The sequence below is a fragment of the Homo sapiens genome, chromosome 7 (assembly GCF_000001405.40).
Source record: "Homo sapiens chromosome 7, GRCh38.p14 Primary Assembly".
Lineage (NCBI taxonomy): Eukaryota > Metazoa > Chordata > Mammalia > Primates > Hominidae > Homo > Homo sapiens.
This window is the reverse complement of record NC_000007.14, coordinates 127,639,855-127,658,637: the sequence shown is the minus strand read 5'-3', so window position 1 is coordinate 127,658,637 and position 18,783 is coordinate 127,639,855. Positions and strand designations below refer to the sequence as shown.

Below are 18,783 nucleotides of genomic sequence, written 5' to 3'. Positions count from 1 at the left end.
TGCTTTTCACTAACACAGTTCACTAAAGCTTGCTAGGCAAAAAAGTACTGCCAGAGGCCAGAGCAGCAGTAAATTCCATGTAGTAACAAAATGCTAAGAGAAATATCAACAATGGCAAGTTCTAGATGCTATTTAGCTCTTATAAAGCCTACTTTTGGCATTTTCTTTTTTAATCCATGTTTTTCCCTCCATTAGAAGAAAAATAGTGACTTTGGGAATACACAGGACTAGCTGATAGTCAGAAAATCTTAGTCTTAATCCTATTAGAAACAAGCATATGACTAAGTATTTTTTCTTATCAGTCTCTCATTCTTTTTTCTTTTGAGACACAGTCTCACTCTGTCACCCAGGCTGGAGGGCAATGGCTCGATCTCAGTTCACTGCAACCTCCACCTCCCAGGTACAAGTGATTCTCCTGCCTCAGCCTCCGGAATACCTGGGACTACAGGCGCGCGCCACCATGCCTGGCTAATTTTTTTTGTATTTTTAGTAGAGATAGGGTTTCGCCATGTTGGTTGGGCTAGTCTTGAACTCCTGACCTCAGGTGATCCACCTGCTTCGGCCTGGGATTACAGGGATGGGATTACAGTGCTGGGATTACAGGCATGAGCCACTGTGCCCAGCCTCCAATTCTTAATATTTATTCAGTGTACTTAATGTCAGCTGTTGATCTCACCAGGGTACCAGAAAAATTACCATCTCCACTGCCTCTCTTCCTTTTATCACCCTTAAACACATATATTACATAATAACTCAGGTTAAACCCAAACTATTTACATGGGATACTGAACGTGAAGGAACTGAAGAGCTACTATAAAAACTCTAAAGAATAAATCATAGGCCAAGTGCAGTGGCTCATGCCTATAAACCCAGCACTTTGGGAGGCCAGAGTGGAGAAGGTCACTTGAGTCCAGGAGTTCGAGACCAGCCTGGGCAACATAGCAAGACCCCATTTCTACAAAAAAGAATAAAAGATTAGCCAGGTGTGGTAGCACGCACCTGTAGTCCTAGCTACTCAGGAGGAGGCTGAGGCAGGAGGATCCCTTGAGCCCAGGAGTTCAAGGCTGCAATGAGCCATGATTGTGCCACTGCATTCCAGCCTGGCAACTAAGTGAAATCCTGACTGAAAAAAATAAAAAATAAAAAATAAATCATCAATGGTGGAAACCCCAGGGGCTTTGCATTTGCTGTTTCCTCGGCCAGGAACGCCCTTCCTTTATGGTTAGTTTTTGATGTCCATCAGATCTCAGCACAAATGCCATCTTCTGAGAAGTCTTTCCTAAACACAGTATCCAAAGGACCCACCCTCTCCCTTACTACAAACCACTCTGTCCCAGTCCCTTACCTGGTATCACTATCTTGTATGATCATGCTTATTTCTTGTTAACTTCTTTATTGTCTGACTCCTCCATAAGCCATAAGGATAGAAATTTGATCTACTTTTTAAATTCTGTTTCTCCAATGCCCAGAGCTTGACAGATAGCAGATGATCAATAAATATTTGTTCAAGAAAGAAAGGAAGTATGATTGCTTATGATTCTATTTCATTAGTTATTACACTGCTAACATAACTAGAGCCAGATGGATGCTTCCTTTTGACAGAAAAATGACAGAAAACCTTTAAGATACAGTAAAAACTTAGTGTTCCTTTACTTACAATCTTGATTAAAAGCTACCAGGCTTACCTGCCGGGAAATGGGCATTTTAAGACCACTGGGAAAAGCCTTCCATCCTAGCCTATCTACTTCTTCATAAATGGCCCTTCTAAAATATTGTTATTCAGCTACCTTATCCCTTGGAATAGTAGAAGGGTATTTTAAGTAGCTTAGGAAAGGTGGGTTTTGTTTGTTTGTTTTTTCCTGTATTGGGGGAACCCACCCCCAATACTTCAACATAGCCAGTCCCTCTGTTCGGGGTCCCTGACTTCCCGCAACATTCCTGCATGAGCGAAGTACACGTAAGAACGAGCAGGTCAACAAACTTCTCTGTCCCCACTGAACTTTTCAAAGACACACACTTCTTAGTTCAGAAACCTAAGATTACACCTGTAATCCCAGCACTTTGGGAGGCCGAGGTGGGCAGACAGCTTGAGGCCAGTTCAAGACCAGCCAACATGGTGAAACTATGACTCTACTAAAAGCACAAAAGTTAGCTGGGCATGCTGACACGCGCCTGTAATCCCAGCTACTCGGGAGGCTGAGGCAGGAGAATCGCTTGAACCCAAGAGGTGGAGGTTGCAGTGAGCCAAGATAGCGCCACTGCACTCCAGCCTGGGCGACAAAGCGAGACTCCATCTTAAAAAAAAAAAAAAAAGAAAGAAAGAAAAGAAAAAGAAAAAGAAAGAAACCTAAGAAACATTTAGCTATAATGAACTGAATTATAGGTGGGATTTCCTAAAGGCTGTACACTGAAGGAATCACCACTAAGCTACCCAGCAAGAAGTCTACATCTTGCTTTACAACAACCTGACAGCACAAGTCCCATTGAAGGAGAAAATTATGGCCCTTTCCTCCCTTGTGTCCCTTTGCTTTGGTCACCCAGTGAGAATCATGGTTCTTAGAATAAAACAAAAGACTGGCAGAGGCATTCCTTTCCCCTTCTGAGGCAATTAAGTGGGTGAGGGGAGGGTAAGGTGAAATGGGAACTGGGATTTGGCACTGTCCGTCCTCCCTTCAGCCTTCCACACCATAAGTAGGATAAGATATGCTGCCTCCATGGCTGCTTCTGATAAGCACAGAAGATTCAAGAATTCAAGATTCATTCTGCTGTTGCGAATGCTTGACAAGACATGTAAACATACCCAAAGAGAAAAAAAACAGAGAGTAAACCAGGTCAGTAAAACCAGAGAAAATAGCCATCTCAAAGCTAAGGGGGGTGACTCAATTTATACTAAGTACCCAACACTTCTCCCAACCTCATCTACTTAGCATCTGCTGACAATATTCTGTTGCAGTTAAAGAGTATCAAGCAAATTATTCAAAGAAACCCAGATTTTAAATCCTTCAGGGTTTCGAGAAAATAAAATCTGATTTGATAGAAGACATGTATTTATCTGGGTTATATTTTGTCCACCCACATACTTGCTAGTCTCATCCCAACTCAGAAAATACAAATCCATCTTAAGTTTTTCCATCATCCTTGCTGATTTTTTCTGTAACAGAACAACTCCAAAATATCTGTATCAACTTACTGTCCACTTCCTCCTTAAATATTCCAGAACCAACTCTGTCCCTTCACCCCAACTCTCAATAGCAGACACAGGTGTCAACATCACCCTCGTTTTTTAAAAATTGGTCAAAGTGTTTTACAACTGGATTCCCAAGTTCTTCAACCTTAAACAAAATAATGTAGGACTTAACAGGATAGCAAAGCAGAGACCAGAAGAAACTTGTGTCTTTCACGGCCCTGCAACACTTTCTTTTGCCAAAAAAGAGGAAGGACTATTCCTCTTTACAGCAGCAAACTTCAACCCTAGACGATTTCAGACCTTCAGCTCAGCCTGAGTCCAGATAAATCCAAAGAGTTAACAATGAAAAGCGTAGGTCAGTGTTCCAATTTCTACCTCTCTCCCAAAAGGCAGAAAAGTAGTGTCTCCTGTTTTCCTATTCATCAAACTATTTCTTTCTCACTTTCATCTGTCACAGAGCTCCATCTTCCTTTGTAGAGTTCTTGCAAAGCAGTTCCTAGTACCAATGGAAACTATTACTCTACAGGAAAATACAACTTTGCTTAGCAGAAGAGCTTCACACACAGCAATTTGCCAGTGGTCAATTTTTCATTCCAGACAAGGCTTCTAAACCTGGCACAAATCTGCCTGTCACTCTGCAGTTCACTCAGCTTTCCTCCCCTAATCCCTGCCTGTAACTCACCCAACCCCTGTAGTGTGGTCAGAGAAGGCAGTGCAATCTATACTCAGTACAGATGGCTCAAATCACTGAATTGTATATGCCACTACCCAGACTCAATCATCTTCCACACCATACTCCTATGTGAAGACCATAAGCACCAAATGAAGTCATTTACCATAATAGCAGCTCCCAGACAAGACAAGGAGTAACATCTAATCTTTTCTCAATTATAGACAGCTTCACTTTCCTGCAATTTGTGGTTATGCATCACTGGCCCCACCCTCCATGTTATAAATTAATACCCTGGAGTCATGAAGTCAGAGACATCATGCATGATATTGAAGAGCATGTGCCGTGGCAGACAGGCCTGGGTTCAAGTCTCAGCTCTGCCTCTTATTACCAATATAAGGTACCTGTCCTTGGGTTAACTATTCTTTCTAAACCTCAAATTACACATCTATAAAATGTGGCTGATAATCGTTATCTACTTGTTAGGTATTACAAATGAGACAATATGAGCAGAATAGTCAGCACAAGACATGACAATAAACAAGTAATTGGTGATATTCAGTATCCATGGGGGTAATTTGTGGGCAGTCACCGCACAGAATCCAGATGCCCTAAAAGCCTCCAGCATTGGCGGAAACAAAACTATGTTCAGCCTCATTCTATTCCCATTCCACAAATGAGAGAGACCTTTAAGAACAATTTAAACCTCAGCAAGGAGAAATCTCAGAAAGATCCACTCTTTCTTACTGCCAAACCCAACACCGGAGAGCCAAGAGATGTTTTTGTTCCTATGGTGAAGAGAAGATCAGTGCAAATGAAAAAGCTAACGAAAGAAGAGCCACTTTAGGATAATCCTTTCATGGGTCAGGTCAGTATTTCAGAGGAAAAATATATGCGGATCTTGGAAATTCTCTTCTCATTCAGTTTCAGATCAGTTCTGACCCTCCATTACACATAAACAAAAGGAAAAGGCAGTACTGAAAATCCCAAGAATCTTGGCTGGTGGCAGACTATTACCTTAAGAAATGAGCACATGGGAATTGGGCGAGGGGATCTTAAAATCAGCTTTACACACACATAAGCTGCAGAACATTTTAATCTTGTGAAAGATAACAGGGTAATAAAATAGAATTTTTTTTAAACTGGGTCTTGCTATGTTGCCCAGGCTGATCTCCAACTCCTGGCCTCAAGCAATCCTCCCACCTCGGCCTCCTAAGTGCTGGGATTACCACCATGAGCCACCGCACCAGGCCTAAAATAGAATTTTTCAAAACTTTCTACAACAGCAAAACTTGTGGAGCCTTGGGAGAAAGTATCACAAAAGATATTTGCTGTTGCAGATACAAATGTCAGAACTGCAGTATGAAACGACATCTAGAAGTTTACAGTCATCATAAACCAGAAAATTGGTAAAACCAAGAAATGTCAGGTTCCAAGATTTGGAAGGGTTTTGGGGAGGACAACTGGGGGCAAGTGATAAACTGAATTTATATTATCAAATTATCATGGAGCTAGGAGTAAATTGTAAAAATAAACTTTGCAGGTTCAAATTCAAAATTGAAGAATTTTCAAAAAGTTGAGGGTATATAAAATCAGGCAGAATCTATAGTGCTATGAGCACTAGACCAGGAATCCGAACACTTGGGCTCTTGCTATGGCTCCAACCCAAACCACCATGTGACCTTAAGCAAGTCACTTGCCTTCTTCAAGCCTATCTCCTTATCTTTAAGGGACGGGAGAACAATGATGATTACTAAGATTCTTGCCGGCCTAACCTTTTAGAAGTCAAAAGTACACAAAGATCAGGAGCTTTCAGGTCGACACAAGAGGTGGAGGGAAAGAGAGGAAAAGAGGGCCACAGAGTGAGAAAACTTGGGAGTCAAGTAACAGCGTTTGTGGGAACAGAAAAGTTTCATGATGGCCAAGTACTAGTAGAGAAGAGCCGATGTCAGGATCTCGAAAAACTACTAACTACTCAGCATATGTCAAAATGAACAGAAAGACGGGGGATGGGAGGACAGATATCAACGAATTGTCTCTGTTAATCAATCAGTAATCGATCTGTCCTGGTAAACAGACAGGAGATCCGAATGCCGCAACCTCGGAAATCACTGTGACCCCTGATGTCAAGGTGTCCGGGAGGCAAGGAACAAGGGGACTCCGTGTCTGCTTCCGTCTAGTGAGAGGATTCGGAGAATCGACGAAAAGTGAGGAAGGGGGCAGAGGAAAGGGGATCTGGGACATGGAGCAGGCTGGCGGAAGGTGGAGTCAATGCCTGACTCCCGCCCGAAGGCAGGCAGAGGGGTCGGTGTCCGGGGCCCGTTCTCACCATCTTGATGATGCCCCGCTGCACGGTGGGGACCGCGGGTCCCCCGGAGGAGCCGCCGCTCTGCGCGGAGGACGCCATGTGTGGAGATGCAAAGGCAACGAGTGGAGCGGCTGGCCGGACTGGAGGTGTCAATGTGGGTGTCGGTGTTGGTGAAAGGGAGTCGAGGCGAGGGGCAGGCTGGCTACCAGCTGCGGACGGTGGACGGGACGGACTCGCCGGGCGCTCACAGGAGCAGCAGCGGGACACGGAGCGAAAGAGACGCGATCTCCGCCGCCGCCACACGTTCTACTCGCCGCGCAAGCGTGCCAGAGCGCCACCGCCCTCCGCCCAATTAGCGCCCAGAGCCCGCCGGCCCTCAGGCCAATAGGCACCCTGCTCGCGGAGCCCCGCCTCTTGGTCCCCAAAACGGTGGTGAGTTCCAGGAAGCGCTGAAAGAGTTGATTTGCAAGGATGGGCTAAATATGGGGCGGGACTTCCGGGGCAGCCGGAGTAGGTAATGTCGGGAGGTGTAGTGGGAAGGAAAGGACACGTCAGCATCTGGCCGCGGGGCGCGGGGGGCCATGGGAGCCCCAGGGGCGGAGCCAGCCGCGCCCTCCCGCCTGACCTCGCCCATGACGTCCTTCCCCGCTGGCCTCAGGGGCGCACACTTGTATACCCACCTAGGTGGGCGCCGCTGTACCCGGGAATGCGGCCTGGGAGGGTGGAGCCACGCAGGCAGAGTCCTGGAGGAATCTCCGTACCCGCTCCACTCGACTTCCGACATTTTACCTTGGCTAAAAGTATGGAGAGAACTTGGAAAATCAGAGCTTTGTGGAACCTCCTACCGATGTGGGCTTTGACCTGCCACGCGGCCGCGCGCCCTTTTTGTAGTCAGAGAGTGTGCCTCGCCCTTGTTTGTGTCGCTGGGGTCTAGCACTTGTGAGGCGTTCCATTAATGTTTGTTGGTGGGAGGAATAAATGTCTCAGAGGAAGGACATGCCACGTATACAGGGGAGAGTGACCCTCGTTCTTCGGTCTCTTCCCAGCTGCTCCCGTGACGTTAGGGAAAAGGCTCGCTTCACGCTCTCACCCGACCCAGTGTGAAGCGCCTCCAGCCACCGGATACCTTCCCTAGCCCCAGTAAAAAGGTCGGGGAAGGAACGGGAAAGCCAAGGCCTACAAATATTTAAGTGACTGTTTAGCGAGAACTAATATTCGTTGAGTGCCCACTATGTGGAACCAAGGACCTTGCATGTGTTATGTCATTTAATCGTAAAACTTGGCTCTACACTGAAGACAGTACTTCCCTTGCAGTTCTTTTTGTTTCTTTGGTTTTGTGGCTTTTTTGAGACAAAGTCTCGCTCTGTCGCTCAGGCTGGAGTGCGGGGGCACGATCACGGCTCACTGCAGCCTTGACACTCCCAGGCTCAAGCGATCCTCCTGCCTCAGTCTCCGGTGTAGCTGGAGCTGGTACCACGGGTCCGCGCTACCACGCCCAGCTAATTTTTTTTTTGTAGAGCTGAGATTTCACTATGTTGCCCAGGCTGGTCTCCTGGGCTCAAGCTATACTCCTACCTCGGCCTCCTAAAGTGCTGGTATTACATGCATTAACCACAGTGCATGGCCCCTTGCTCTCTTAAAAGATTGTAAGTTTATTCTCCCACACTAAACATATCCCAGGGTTAAGTTTTGAGGTCACCTTCTTAGATCCCTAATTTGCCACCCTTTTCCAAAAAAAAAAAAAAAAAAAAAAAAAACCTCTGTGGAAGTTGGTTCCATCAGATTATACCCCTCTCTATCTCGTGGCTTTTTATCTACCGTACCCCTATTTCTACCGTGTCATTCATTGAAATTGTTAACACTTGGTGCACGGTCTTCAGCCAATAATCCTGAAATACTTCAATATCTACGAGCATGACTTATCCCATACCCTGACCTCTTTGCTCCTTGATCTCATCTTCAGTAAACTTGACCTCTGCACCAATTTAGGACGTTCTCCAGACAGATAAAACACCATAACTTCATAGGTACGATTGTAAACTCAAACACTTTGTCTTTGATCATAACTGCTGTCCTCTCTCCCTTCTCATTCAGTTAATTATCTTATATCTTGTATTAGTTACATAACAATTTGCCCCAAAACTTAAATACTAAAGAAAACAATAAGCATTTATCTCACAGTTTTTGTGGGTAAGGAATCTGGGGTGGGTGCCTGCCTTTTCCTCCAGGTCTTCTCTTATAAAGCTGCAGTCAAGGTGTCAAGGGGAGTTGGGAAGGGGACTGTGGTCTCATCTGAAGGTCCTCCTCTGACTGAAGGTAGATTGCTTCCCAAGCTCACTCATAGTTGCTGACAGAATTCAGTTCCTCAAGATGTTGGACTAAGAGCCTCAGTTTTTCAGTGGTTCAGTTTCCTTCTACATGGGTCTCTCCATAGGGCAACTCACAACATAACAGCTGGTTTCCATCAGAGCAAGTGAGAGACAACAGAGGACAAGCGTTAACTAGAATTTAAAGTCCCTGAACTCACTACCCTTGCTTTACCAGCTCCCCTCTGCCTTCTCCTGGATCCTTGGCTAGACTCCATGCACTGTCCATCATTTTAGCCCCTTTCCTACCAATATCTTCATCTGTAATTCCCATTGTCTTTCACTGGGCCCACCTGTCAAAACCTCAACTCTAGGCCCTCTATAGCTCTCTACTTTCTTCAAACCTACCACTTACCTGGAGAAAACACTCAATTCTGCAGGTTGGTGCCACAGTGAATTAATTAATGGGCCCTCACACGGTGCCTGGAATTTCTTCTCTTTATTCAGTCAGTTCAGCCTTGAACTCTATTGAGTTTGTTTTAACTGACTCCACTGTTTCCCACACTCTGAAAGTGATAAGGCCTCCTACTTGGGAGAAAAAATCATCAAGAACTCCTTCAATTTCCCACCACTGAATCTAAAATCTTATCTTCCTTCTCATTCCTCTCTTATCCCTTGTTACTGTCAACTAAAGAAAAAAAAATCAAGCTTTTAAAGAATTAAAGTTAGTTTTATCCAGAAGTCTTACTGAGGCCCAAGGACTACATATAGCCCAGGAGCGGTTGTCAGACTGCTCCTGCACAGTGTTTCAGCCCATTGCTTATATATAGGAGGTGGAGGTTCAGTACATGCAAAATCACATCAAAGCTTGGGTGTTAAGAGTACATCTGGTTATAGATCTCTAAAGTACATTTGGTTATACATGTTAGAAGCAGAACCACTAACTCTGTCAGATGTTATCTTATGTGCAGGGAAAGGCAAGGACTAAGGTCATTTATCTTTTATGGACTACATTGACTCAGGCAAGAGACACTGGGGGCCGTGTGCTTTATCCTGTTTTTTCTTCAGAGCATCTTTCAGGGTAGCGGTGTGTCATTGTCACAGTCAGGGGCTTTGTGAAATTCTGCTGAGAAGCAGAAATGAGGAAACATGGCTTCTTACATTTGCTACCTTGTCTCACATTACAAAGAAAATCTCCCTCCTACTCTTCAGGCTAAACTCTTCGTCTTAGTTCTTGATCTGCCCCCTCCACATTTCCAATCATTCCCTCTCCGGTTTTTACAGCTTCTCAGTTTATCCTAGGTTCTCCTCATTAGCATTAAAAAATTTTTTTTAATCTTAAAAAAGAGTAGAACAAGGAGTTCAATCTATAACTGGCAGCGAACAATCAGTTGATATAACACTACCTTCAGACCAGCCTCATTAGCACTTAAGTATTCTCAAATTTCTTGCTTTGTAAAATTCAATTAATTAAATAAATTTTTCCTTCATTCCACATCCATCTCCAGATATCTCTCCTCCCTTCACAGGCAAATCTTCTTGCTAAAATTCTCTTTGTTGCCTTCACATCGTCACACCATATTCAATCCTCAGCCCTCCGCATTCTGACTATTGCCCTTACCAATTTACCAAAACAGTTCTCTCCAAGGTCACTGATGACCTCCTTGTTACTACATTCAGTGGACACTTTTCAGACCTCCATTTGCTGAGATCTCCATAGCATTTGACACTGTTTGCCCTTTGAAATGCCTTTCTACTGAGATACTATACCTGTGTATCCCTCCCATCTCCTAGCTGCTCCTTCTCATCTCCATTGTGATGACTCCTTTGCCTGCCCCTTAGTATTGATGTTCCTCAGGGTTCTCCGGAAGGCATCTTCTTTTCTAATTCTAAACATTCTTAAGACATCGTATCTACTTCCATGACTGCATACCAATGACTCCCAAATATATACAACTCCTGTTAAAATCTCTTTTAAGCTCCAGACCCATCTGTCCAGCGATACTCTAAAGATCTGCTCATGGCTGGGCTGGGCGCAGTGACTCACACCTGTAATCCCAGCACTTTGGGAGGCCAAAGCAGGGGGATCAGGAGGTCAGGAGTTCGAGACCAGCCTGACCAACATGGAGAAACGCCGTCTCTACTAAAAATACAAAATTAGCCCCGGGTGTGGTGGCGCATGCCTGTAATCCCAGCTACTTGGCTGAGGCAGGAGAATCCCTTGAACCCAGGAGGCGGAGGTTGCAGTGAGCCGAGATCACACCATCGCACTCTAGCCTGGGCAAGAAGAGCGAAACTCCATCTCAGAAACAAACAAACAAAAAAATCTGCTCATGGCTATCACCTGAAGAATTCAAATTCAACATGTGTCACAAGGAACTAATTCTCTTTCCTCCCAAACCTGCTCTGCCTTAGTATGTTTCTCAGCCCATACAATGGTACCTAAAGCTACCCAGTTGCAAGCCTAAAGCCTTTGTGTTATCTGTGATTCCTCCCCCTTCCTTCTTTCCCATTCCTTAGTCAGTCTTGGAAATCTGTTGGATCTACAGCAGCACACTCAAACACACAGGCCCTGGAACCAGACTGCATGGTTCACATCCCAACACTGTATACCTTGACCAGGTTGTGTAGTATCTCTGTGCCTTAGGTTTCTTGTCTGTAGAATAAAAATGATAATAGGACCTACCTCATAGGATTGCTTTGGTTTGCAGGATCATATGAATCAGTAAATGTTAAAGACTTAGAACATTGCCTAGACCTATGCGTTAATTTTTTAATGCATGCTAGTAGAGAAGGGATTTGACACTAGCTCTTATGGCTCTAAAGCTCATGATCTTTCCCCTGTGCCTTTACAGGAAGGAAAGGGACTTTGAAATCCTTAAAGAAGACTTTTTTTGTGTGCAATGGAGAACAAACACAGAATGTAGTCTGAAGATGCACAAGATTCACTGAAACAAACAAAGCATCCTATTTCTTGAACTTCCTTGAAAATAAATTTAGGAAATATGTTCCTCTCAGTAATAATGGCCTGAATATATTGAGCACTAAACATATGCACTAAACAGACTCTGTGCTACATGCTTTTACCTACATTACATAATTTAACCCTTAAGACAATCCTATGAAGTAGATATAGTCAATCTCTTTCCACAAAGGAGGACATTAGTGCTTAGAAAAGGTGATGAACCAAATCTAGGTCAACAGCTAATAAGGATGGAGTCAAGATTTGAACCTAGAACTTTCTACCATAAATAGTCTTCTCTGAGCTATTTGACTAGCCTGCTTCCAAGATATCCAAGCATGTTCCTCTCATCCTGGGCCTGTACCTGTAGAATTCAGAAGCTGAGCAAAGAAAGAGTTTTCAACTCTCCAGTAAGTTTCCTTTGGGAAAACAGGAGAAAACTCAACACCGTGGAATAACTTTCTGCCTCCATTCTTCCCAGCCCACCTCCAGCTTCAACCCATTCCCCATACTGCCAACCTGATGTTCTTTCTAAAATGCAATTTTCAGCCGGGCACGGAGGCTCACACCTGTAATCCCAGTACTTTGGGAGGCCAAAGCAGGCAGATCACCTAAGGTCAGTTCAAGACCAGCCTAGCCAACATGGCAAAACCCCGTCTCTACTAAAAATTCAAAAATTAGTCAGGCATGGTGGCATGCGCCTGTAATCCCAGCTACTAGGGAGGCTGAGGCAGGAGAATCGCTTGTACCCGGGAGGCAGAGGTTGCAGTGAGCCAAGATTGTGCCACTGCACTCCAGCCTGGATGACAGAGCGAGACAATTTACAATCACATCAACTCCTTCCTTAAAATTGCAGTGCCTCCCCCACCCCACATAGCATAGCACCCTCACCACGTGGCCCTGACCTACTTTTCAGCTTCTCCTTTCACCCTCCTCCTTTTTTTTTTCTTTTAAGAACAACCCTATGAAGTAGATATAATCTCTTTCCACAAAGGAGGACTTTACTGCTTAGAAAAGGTGACCAGCCAACTCTAGGTCAACAACTAATAAGGATGGAGTCAAGATACACTGTATATTTTTTTAAAAGAAAAGCCTCACAAACCCAACTTGTCTAAACCAGTGCTATCTAAAAGAACTTTCTGCAATGACGAAAATGCCATATATGTGCTCTGTCCAACACAGTAGCCACCAGCTAATGAGCCCTTGAAATGTGGCTAGTGCAACTGAGGAAGTAGATTTTTAATGTTATTTGATTTTAATCAATGTAACACATATGGCTAGTGACTATTGCATAGCATCAGATTAGGTGATTAAATTTGAATATTGCTGTCATATCTGTTACCATAATCTTCTATGTAGGTTTAAAAAATATTTCTGTATGCTTTGTGTAGCCCAAACTTGGTTAAAATGAGTAATAGCATAACCCATCATTTAAAAAAAGTTTTAAGAAACAACAAAAAAGTTTAGTTTGTAACATTAAAAGTGGAATGCACACATACTGTTAAGAAAAAAGAAAAAAAATCCTATGCTTTAGGCTTAGACATTATTTCTCAAACCTCATAGTAGAAAAAAATTATTTGAACATAAGGATAATAATGCGCTCTTCCCAATTTGCCCTATCTATATAATAACTCAATGTAAAGGACTTACAAAAGTGTAATCCTCATTTATATAAGTCTATGATTGGGTAACAATTACAAAACTTTTAGTTAGTGGATCAACTTTGTACCCTGTCCTGTTGTCATTTAATGGCAAGGCCAAACTTCATTCTATTCTCCCAAATGTCATTAATCAATGCCTCTGGGTTCTCAGTAGTCTTAGATAATTGTATATTAATTCGCTCCTGCTGCAGCTGTTGGCTTTGGCCACTGTCACGTTCTATCACTCCCAACCTTGCTTGCTACACAAATTTCTAAGAAAAAAGGCATAAAAAAACTTTATGCAATTGTACCACTTTTATTATAAGGTAGCATGTTGTTCTGAGACTCTGTAAACTGAGATGATCAAGATATTATGAAGATTCCTTTCTCTCCCCAGAATCCTGAAGTCGGTCCTAAAGTCAGCAAACTCAGAGTTAAAGTTTCAGCAAGTAACAGCAAACTAGATTAACCATGGCATAAACATACAGAAGTCCCCCCTTATCTGAAAGGTATATGTTCCAAGACCCCCAGCAGATGCCTGAAACTGCAGATAGTACTGCAGTAATTGCAGATATATATTGTTTTTTTCTATGCATATATACATAACTATGTATGTTTAATTTATAAATTAGGCACAGTAAGAGATTAACAATAATAACTAATAAGAAAACAGAACAATTATACAATATACTATAATAAATGTTATATGAATGATTCTCTCTTACTCTCTGAAAATATCTCAATGTTTTTGAACCACAATTGACTGTGGGTAACTGAAACTGCAGAAAGCAAAACTGCGGATTACAGTGAGCACTACTATACATTTTTCTCTTACAGATCAAGAAGCTGGAGGTATTTGTTTAAAAGTTCAACCATCTCAGTGCAGGCATCTCAGCAATTTCCTTGGCTTTTCCTTTGTAGTTGCAAAATAGCTGCTTCAGCTCCAGACACTGGAACAAGAAGGAAAAGGAGGAGGAAGAGGAGAAGGAGGCAACAAAAAGAAGAGGGAAAAGACCAATGCCAGAAACGTCTGCTCATTTTTATCAGGAGAGCAAGTTTTCCCAGAAGTGCCCATCCTAAGGCCTAAGGCCTCTCCTTGCTGCAGGGGAGGCTGGGAAGGCATTTTGATTGACGAGAGAGGGAATCAGAAATGGGTATTAGGGTGGCCTGAACCTTGGGCCTCTTCTTTTCTTCTGGCCAATTCTGCCTTTCTAGAACTCTGGCCTATTCCCAAGCTCCATTCTCTCTCTCTCTTTATTTATTTTTTTTTTTGAGATGGAGTCTCGCTCTGTTTGTCGCCAGGCTGGAGTGCAGTGGCACGATCTTGGCTCGCTGCAACCTCCACCTCCCGGGTTCAAGCAATTCTCCTGCCTCAGCCTCCCGAGTAGCTGGGACTACAGGCACATGCCACCATGCCCAGCTAATTTTTGTATTTTTAGTAGAGACAGGGTTTCACCATGTTGGCTGGGATGGTCTCGATATCTTGACCTCATGATCTGCCCACCTCAGCCTCTCAAAGTGCTGGGATTAGAGGCGTGAGCCAACTGCATCTGGCCTCCATTCTCTCTTTCAAGACAGAATCCTGGCCCCTCATTCTCTCCAGAACCAAAAAGCCAAAAGCAGTAAGCGTGTGTTTCATGATTGCTGTCTCTGGTCCAGGGCTCCCAGTACTAAAGGCCTGCCTCGGGGAACGTGCAGGCCCGGGACCACCGGCTTCCTCCACTTCTCTGCTATCTTGTGCCTGCAGAAAGGCCTCCTGTCCACTGAAGGACATAACCCTGTGTACATTGCCCTCTCTTGCTTACTGTGGCTCCAGCAGCAATAGCCACACTAAAAATCTCACCCCAAATACACCTAGAGCTTTCTGTCCCTGGTTTTTTGCCTACACCCAATTCCCTCCACTTGGAATGCCGTTCTACGGCTCAGTTCAGACACAGCTTTTCCCATAAAGTTATCTGAGAGGCCTCCAATCAGAAGTGACTCTTCCTTCCCCTTTATCCCCAGACATTTTGGATAATGCCTTTCTGGTGGTGTGCACTGCACTCTCCTCGTGTCATAGTTGTTTGTGTAACAGTTGAACTGACCAGTAAACTTTTTGGCAATAAGCTCCTATGAATCTTGTTAACTTGTGTGTTCTCCATAGGCCTGGCACTGCCTTGTAAAGAATAAGCACTCAATAATTGTATTTTGAACTAAATTGAAGTATTCAGTCTGTTTGAATGTCTGAGATGACTTATTTACCTTCTCTTTGCATTCCTTATATCTGTTATATATCCTTTGTGATTTCTGGAAATTGAACCTAAGAGTGTCAGGTATAGTTAGGGTGAAAGTTAGGGATCTTAGTGGGGGTTACTATCATTGGATGGATCCCAACATAGTATAGTTCATGGAATCATAAATATTATTTAACTTCTGCCAACAATAGAATGTGTCTGCACCTCTTCCAGTGCCCACACATGCCTTAACTATAGCCTGCTCCTGTATATTAGATAAGGGAGGCCGGCTGTGGGAACAAAAGAACTAATTATTCAGTGACCTAGATAATACAAAGGTGTATTTCTTTCTCACACAACAGCCCAGGATGGTGACTTTCCTCACATAATCATCCAAAGACTGAGGCTGGTGGCAGCTCTCCCATCTACTAACAGGAGTTCTAATAGCAAAACAGTTCTCATTTAAAGTCAAGAGCAGGCCAGGTGCGGTGGCTCACACCTGTAATCCCAGCACTTTGGGAGGCTGAGGCAGGCAGATCACCTGAGGTCAGCAGTTCGAGACCAGCTTGACCAACATGGAGAAACCCCGTCTCTACTAAAAATACAAAATTAGCTGGGCGTGGTGGAGTATGCCTGTAATCCCAGCTACTCAGGAGGCTGAGGCAGGAGAATCGCTTGAACCCTGGAGGCGGAGGTTGCAGTGAGCCAAGATCGAGCCATTGCTCTCCAGCCTGGGCAACAAGAGCGAAATTCCATCTCAAAATAAATAAATAAATAAATAAATGAAATAAAGTCAAGAGCAAAGGAAGAGGTGTCATGTAATGATGCAGAAACATTTTGAGAAGATAGATGTTGAGATAGTCGCATTAGATGTTCTCAATCTTCTAAATAAAGTGGGAGGACTTGGGAATCAGAAGACAGGATGAATTTCTATAGAATCAGTGACCCCCAGACTGAAGATGAGGCCCTTTCCAGGGAAGGCAGGCCCTGGAATCACCAGGAGTGGATCCAGACCGAAGCCAGACCTCTGGACTGGGTGGGCATCGTCCCCACTAGGACAACTGCTGTCAGCTGTCAGAGCTTAGGGACCAGAGCAATGAAGATGAAGCAAAGAAAGAGGTTAGGATCTGGATGAATGGTAAGGGTCAGGAGTGCAGGGGAAGGCCAGAAGTGAGAGAATGGGCCCCAGGGCCTGTGAATAGAGACAGGATAACTGGAATGCTGAGGGTGGAGCTACCACCACCAAGACAGATTTGTCATTGCTGGGAGTCAGAGGATAGGGACAGGAGCTGAGGCAAGAGGCCAGGGTTCAGGTGGCAGCTGAAGGGGCACAGTCAACTCAGGGTGGATTTCAGGATGGTCCTTGCATTTTTTTCAGGTGCCTTTTTCTGGCTCTCCTCCATATTAATTCTCCCGAAGGATAACTATTTCAGATAGAATAATGATCTCTTTCAGCCACATTCCACACAAATACCACAGATACCAAAAAGTGGAAAATCATCTCTTTCCTCTTTACTCCAAGTCTTTGTTTCATGCATTTGAGAGTGGCATAAATTCCAATATAAAATGATTTTGTGAAACATCAAAGTATATTTGCTATTTATACCATACTCTGTTGTTCAGTGGAGAGCAGTTAATAGAGTTTGCTCTCTTAAGAGTGCTTCAGAGGATAAGATGTTGCTTTATGAGCAATTGAAACAGGCTAAACTACCAATGAGTTATGTAATGTTTACATTTTCTTTCTTTCTTTCTTTCTTTTTTTTTTTTTTTTTTTTTTTTTTTTAGAGACGGAGTCTCACTCTGTCGCCCAGGCTGGAGTGCAGTGACATGATCTCAGCTCACTACAACCTCTGCCTCCTGGGTTCAAGCAATTCTCCTGTCTCAGCCTGCTGAGTAGCTGGGACTACAGGCACTCGCTGCCATGCCTGGCTAATTTTTTTGTATTTTAGTAGAGACGGGGTTTCACCGTGTTGCCCAGGCTGGTCTTGAACTCCTGAGCTCAGGCAATCTGCCCGCCTCGGGCTCCCAAAGTGCTAGGATTACACGTGTGAGCTACCATGCCCGGCCTTTTACTTTTTTTTCTTTCTCTTTTTTTTTTTTTTTGAGATGGAGTCTTGCTCTGTTGCCCAGGCTGGAGTGCAGTGGCACGATCTCGGCTCACTGCAACCTCCACCTCCCCAGTTCAAGAGATTCTCCTGCCTCAACCTCCCAAGCAGCTGGGACTACAGGTGCCCACCACCACGCTTGGCTAATTTTTGTATTTTTAGTAGAGATAGGGTTTCACCACATTGGCCAGGCTGGTCTCGAACTGCTGACCTTGTGATCCTCCTACCTCGGCCTCCCAAAGTTCTGGGATTACAGGCATGAGCCCCCACGCCCAGCCTACTTTTTTTTTTTTTTAGCTCTCAATACAGAGCCTTTGAGCTGTTTCCCTCTGCCTGGAGCTCTGTCCCTAGAACAGGGAACAAAAATGGACAAAATCTCTGCATTCTGGGAGCTCACATTCTAATATCAGAAACTCAGGATGAGATCATTATAATGGTTAAACTTTAAATTTGAATTAGAAGTACTTGTAACCAAGGCAAAAACAAAGAAGACACATTAAGGTTATATAATTCTCACTGTCTGATCCAAGTAAACATATTATTTAATGGGAAGAGACAAACATTTCCCTTGACACTGATTTCTAGAAGACTTTCATTACATGACTCTTTATTTAAAGAACAATGAGTAATACAATGGGCAATGTTTTTTGGTTTTTTCTCAAATTTTAATTTTTATGGGTACATAATAGGTAAATGTATTTATGGGGTATGTGTGATACTTTGATAGAGGCGTACAAGTGTAGTAATCACATCAGGGTAAATGGGGTATCCATCACTTCAAACACTGATCATTTCTTTGTGTTGCAAACATTCCAATTATAATTAGTTGTTTTTAAATGTACAATAAATTCTTGTTTACTGTACTCACCCTGTTGTGCTATCAAATACTAGCTCCTATTCATTCTATCTAACTATGTTTTTGTACCCTTAACCATCCCCACCTCTTCCAATCCCCCATGCCACTACCCTTCCCAGCCTCTGGTAACTATCATTCTGTCTCTGGGAGTTCAATTTTTAGCTCCCGCAATTAAGTGAGAACATGTGAAGTTTGTCTTTCTGTGCCTGGCTATTTTACTTACCATAATGTCCTCCAGCTCCATCCATGTTGTTGCAAATGACAGGATCTCATTCTTTTTTATGGCTGAACAGTACTCCACTGTGTATATGTACCACAGTTTCTTTATCCATTCATCTATCAATGGACACTTAGGTTGCTTCCAAATCTTGGCTATTGTGAATAGTGCTGCAGTAAACATGAGAGTGCATCTATCTCTTTCATAGACTGATTTCCTTTATTTTGGGTATATATCTAGCAGCAAGATTGCTGGATCATATGGTAGCTCTATTTTAATTTTTGTTGTTGTGGTTACTGATACAGGGTCTTGCTCTATC

At 43.6% G+C, this 18,783-nt stretch overlaps 1 protein-coding gene and 1 long non-coding RNA gene across 3 annotated transcripts in view, besides 5 other annotated features; one reads left to right on the top strand and one right to left on the bottom strand.

The window, feature by feature from the left end:
- SND1 (staphylococcal nuclease and tudor domain containing 1) overlaps window positions 1–6,444 on the bottom strand; it is a 440,400-nt gene extending 433,956 nt beyond the window's left edge. For both annotated transcript variants that reach the window (NM_014390.4, XM_017011987.3), the window contains exon 1: window positions 6,187–6,444. In NM_014390.4, coding sequence (NP_055205.2) covers window positions 6,187–6,264 — 78 coding nt within the window. In that variant the 5' untranslated portion in view covers window positions 6,265–6,444. The remainder of the gene's footprint in view (window positions 1–6,186) is intronic.
- Window positions 3,959–4,018: an enhancer, noted in NCBI's record as "active region_26588". NCBI's record gives its function as "activates an Ori minimal core promoter by ATAC-STARR-seq in GM12878 lymphoblastoid cells {active_cell/tissue: GM12878}" and the evidence as "EXISTENCE:reporter gene assay evidence [ECO:0000049][PMID:35858748]".
- Window positions 6,226–6,405: an enhancer, noted in NCBI's record as "active region_26587". NCBI's record gives its function as "activates an Ori minimal core promoter by ATAC-STARR-seq in GM12878 lymphoblastoid cells {active_cell/tissue: GM12878}" and the evidence as "EXISTENCE:reporter gene assay evidence [ECO:0000049][PMID:35858748]".
- Window positions 6,226–6,895: a biological region, named in NCBI's record as "NANOG-H3K27ac-H3K4me1 hESC enhancer GRCh37_chr7:127291844-127292462".
- Window positions 6,230–6,848: an enhancer, noted in NCBI's record as "NANOG-H3K27ac-H3K4me1 hESC enhancer chr7:127291844-127292462 (GRCh37/hg19 assembly coordinates)". NCBI's record gives its function as "activates a minimal SCP1, AML or CMV promoter by ChIP-STARR-seq in primed H9 embryonic stem cells {active_cell/tissue: H9 hESC(primed)}" and the evidence as "EXISTENCE:reporter gene assay evidence [ECO:0000049][PMID:30033119]".
- Window positions 6,646–6,895: a silencer, noted in NCBI's record as "silent region_18595". NCBI's record gives its function as "represses an Ori minimal core promoter by ATAC-STARR-seq in GM12878 lymphoblastoid cells {active_cell/tissue: GM12878}" and the evidence as "EXISTENCE:reporter gene assay evidence [ECO:0000049][PMID:35858748]".
- SND1-DT (SND1 divergent transcript) lies at window positions 6,806–11,492 on the top strand. The gene is made up of 2 exons (NR_186577.1): window positions 6,806–6,965; window positions 11,327–11,492. It is a non-coding gene; the product is annotated as an SND1 divergent transcript (long non-coding RNA).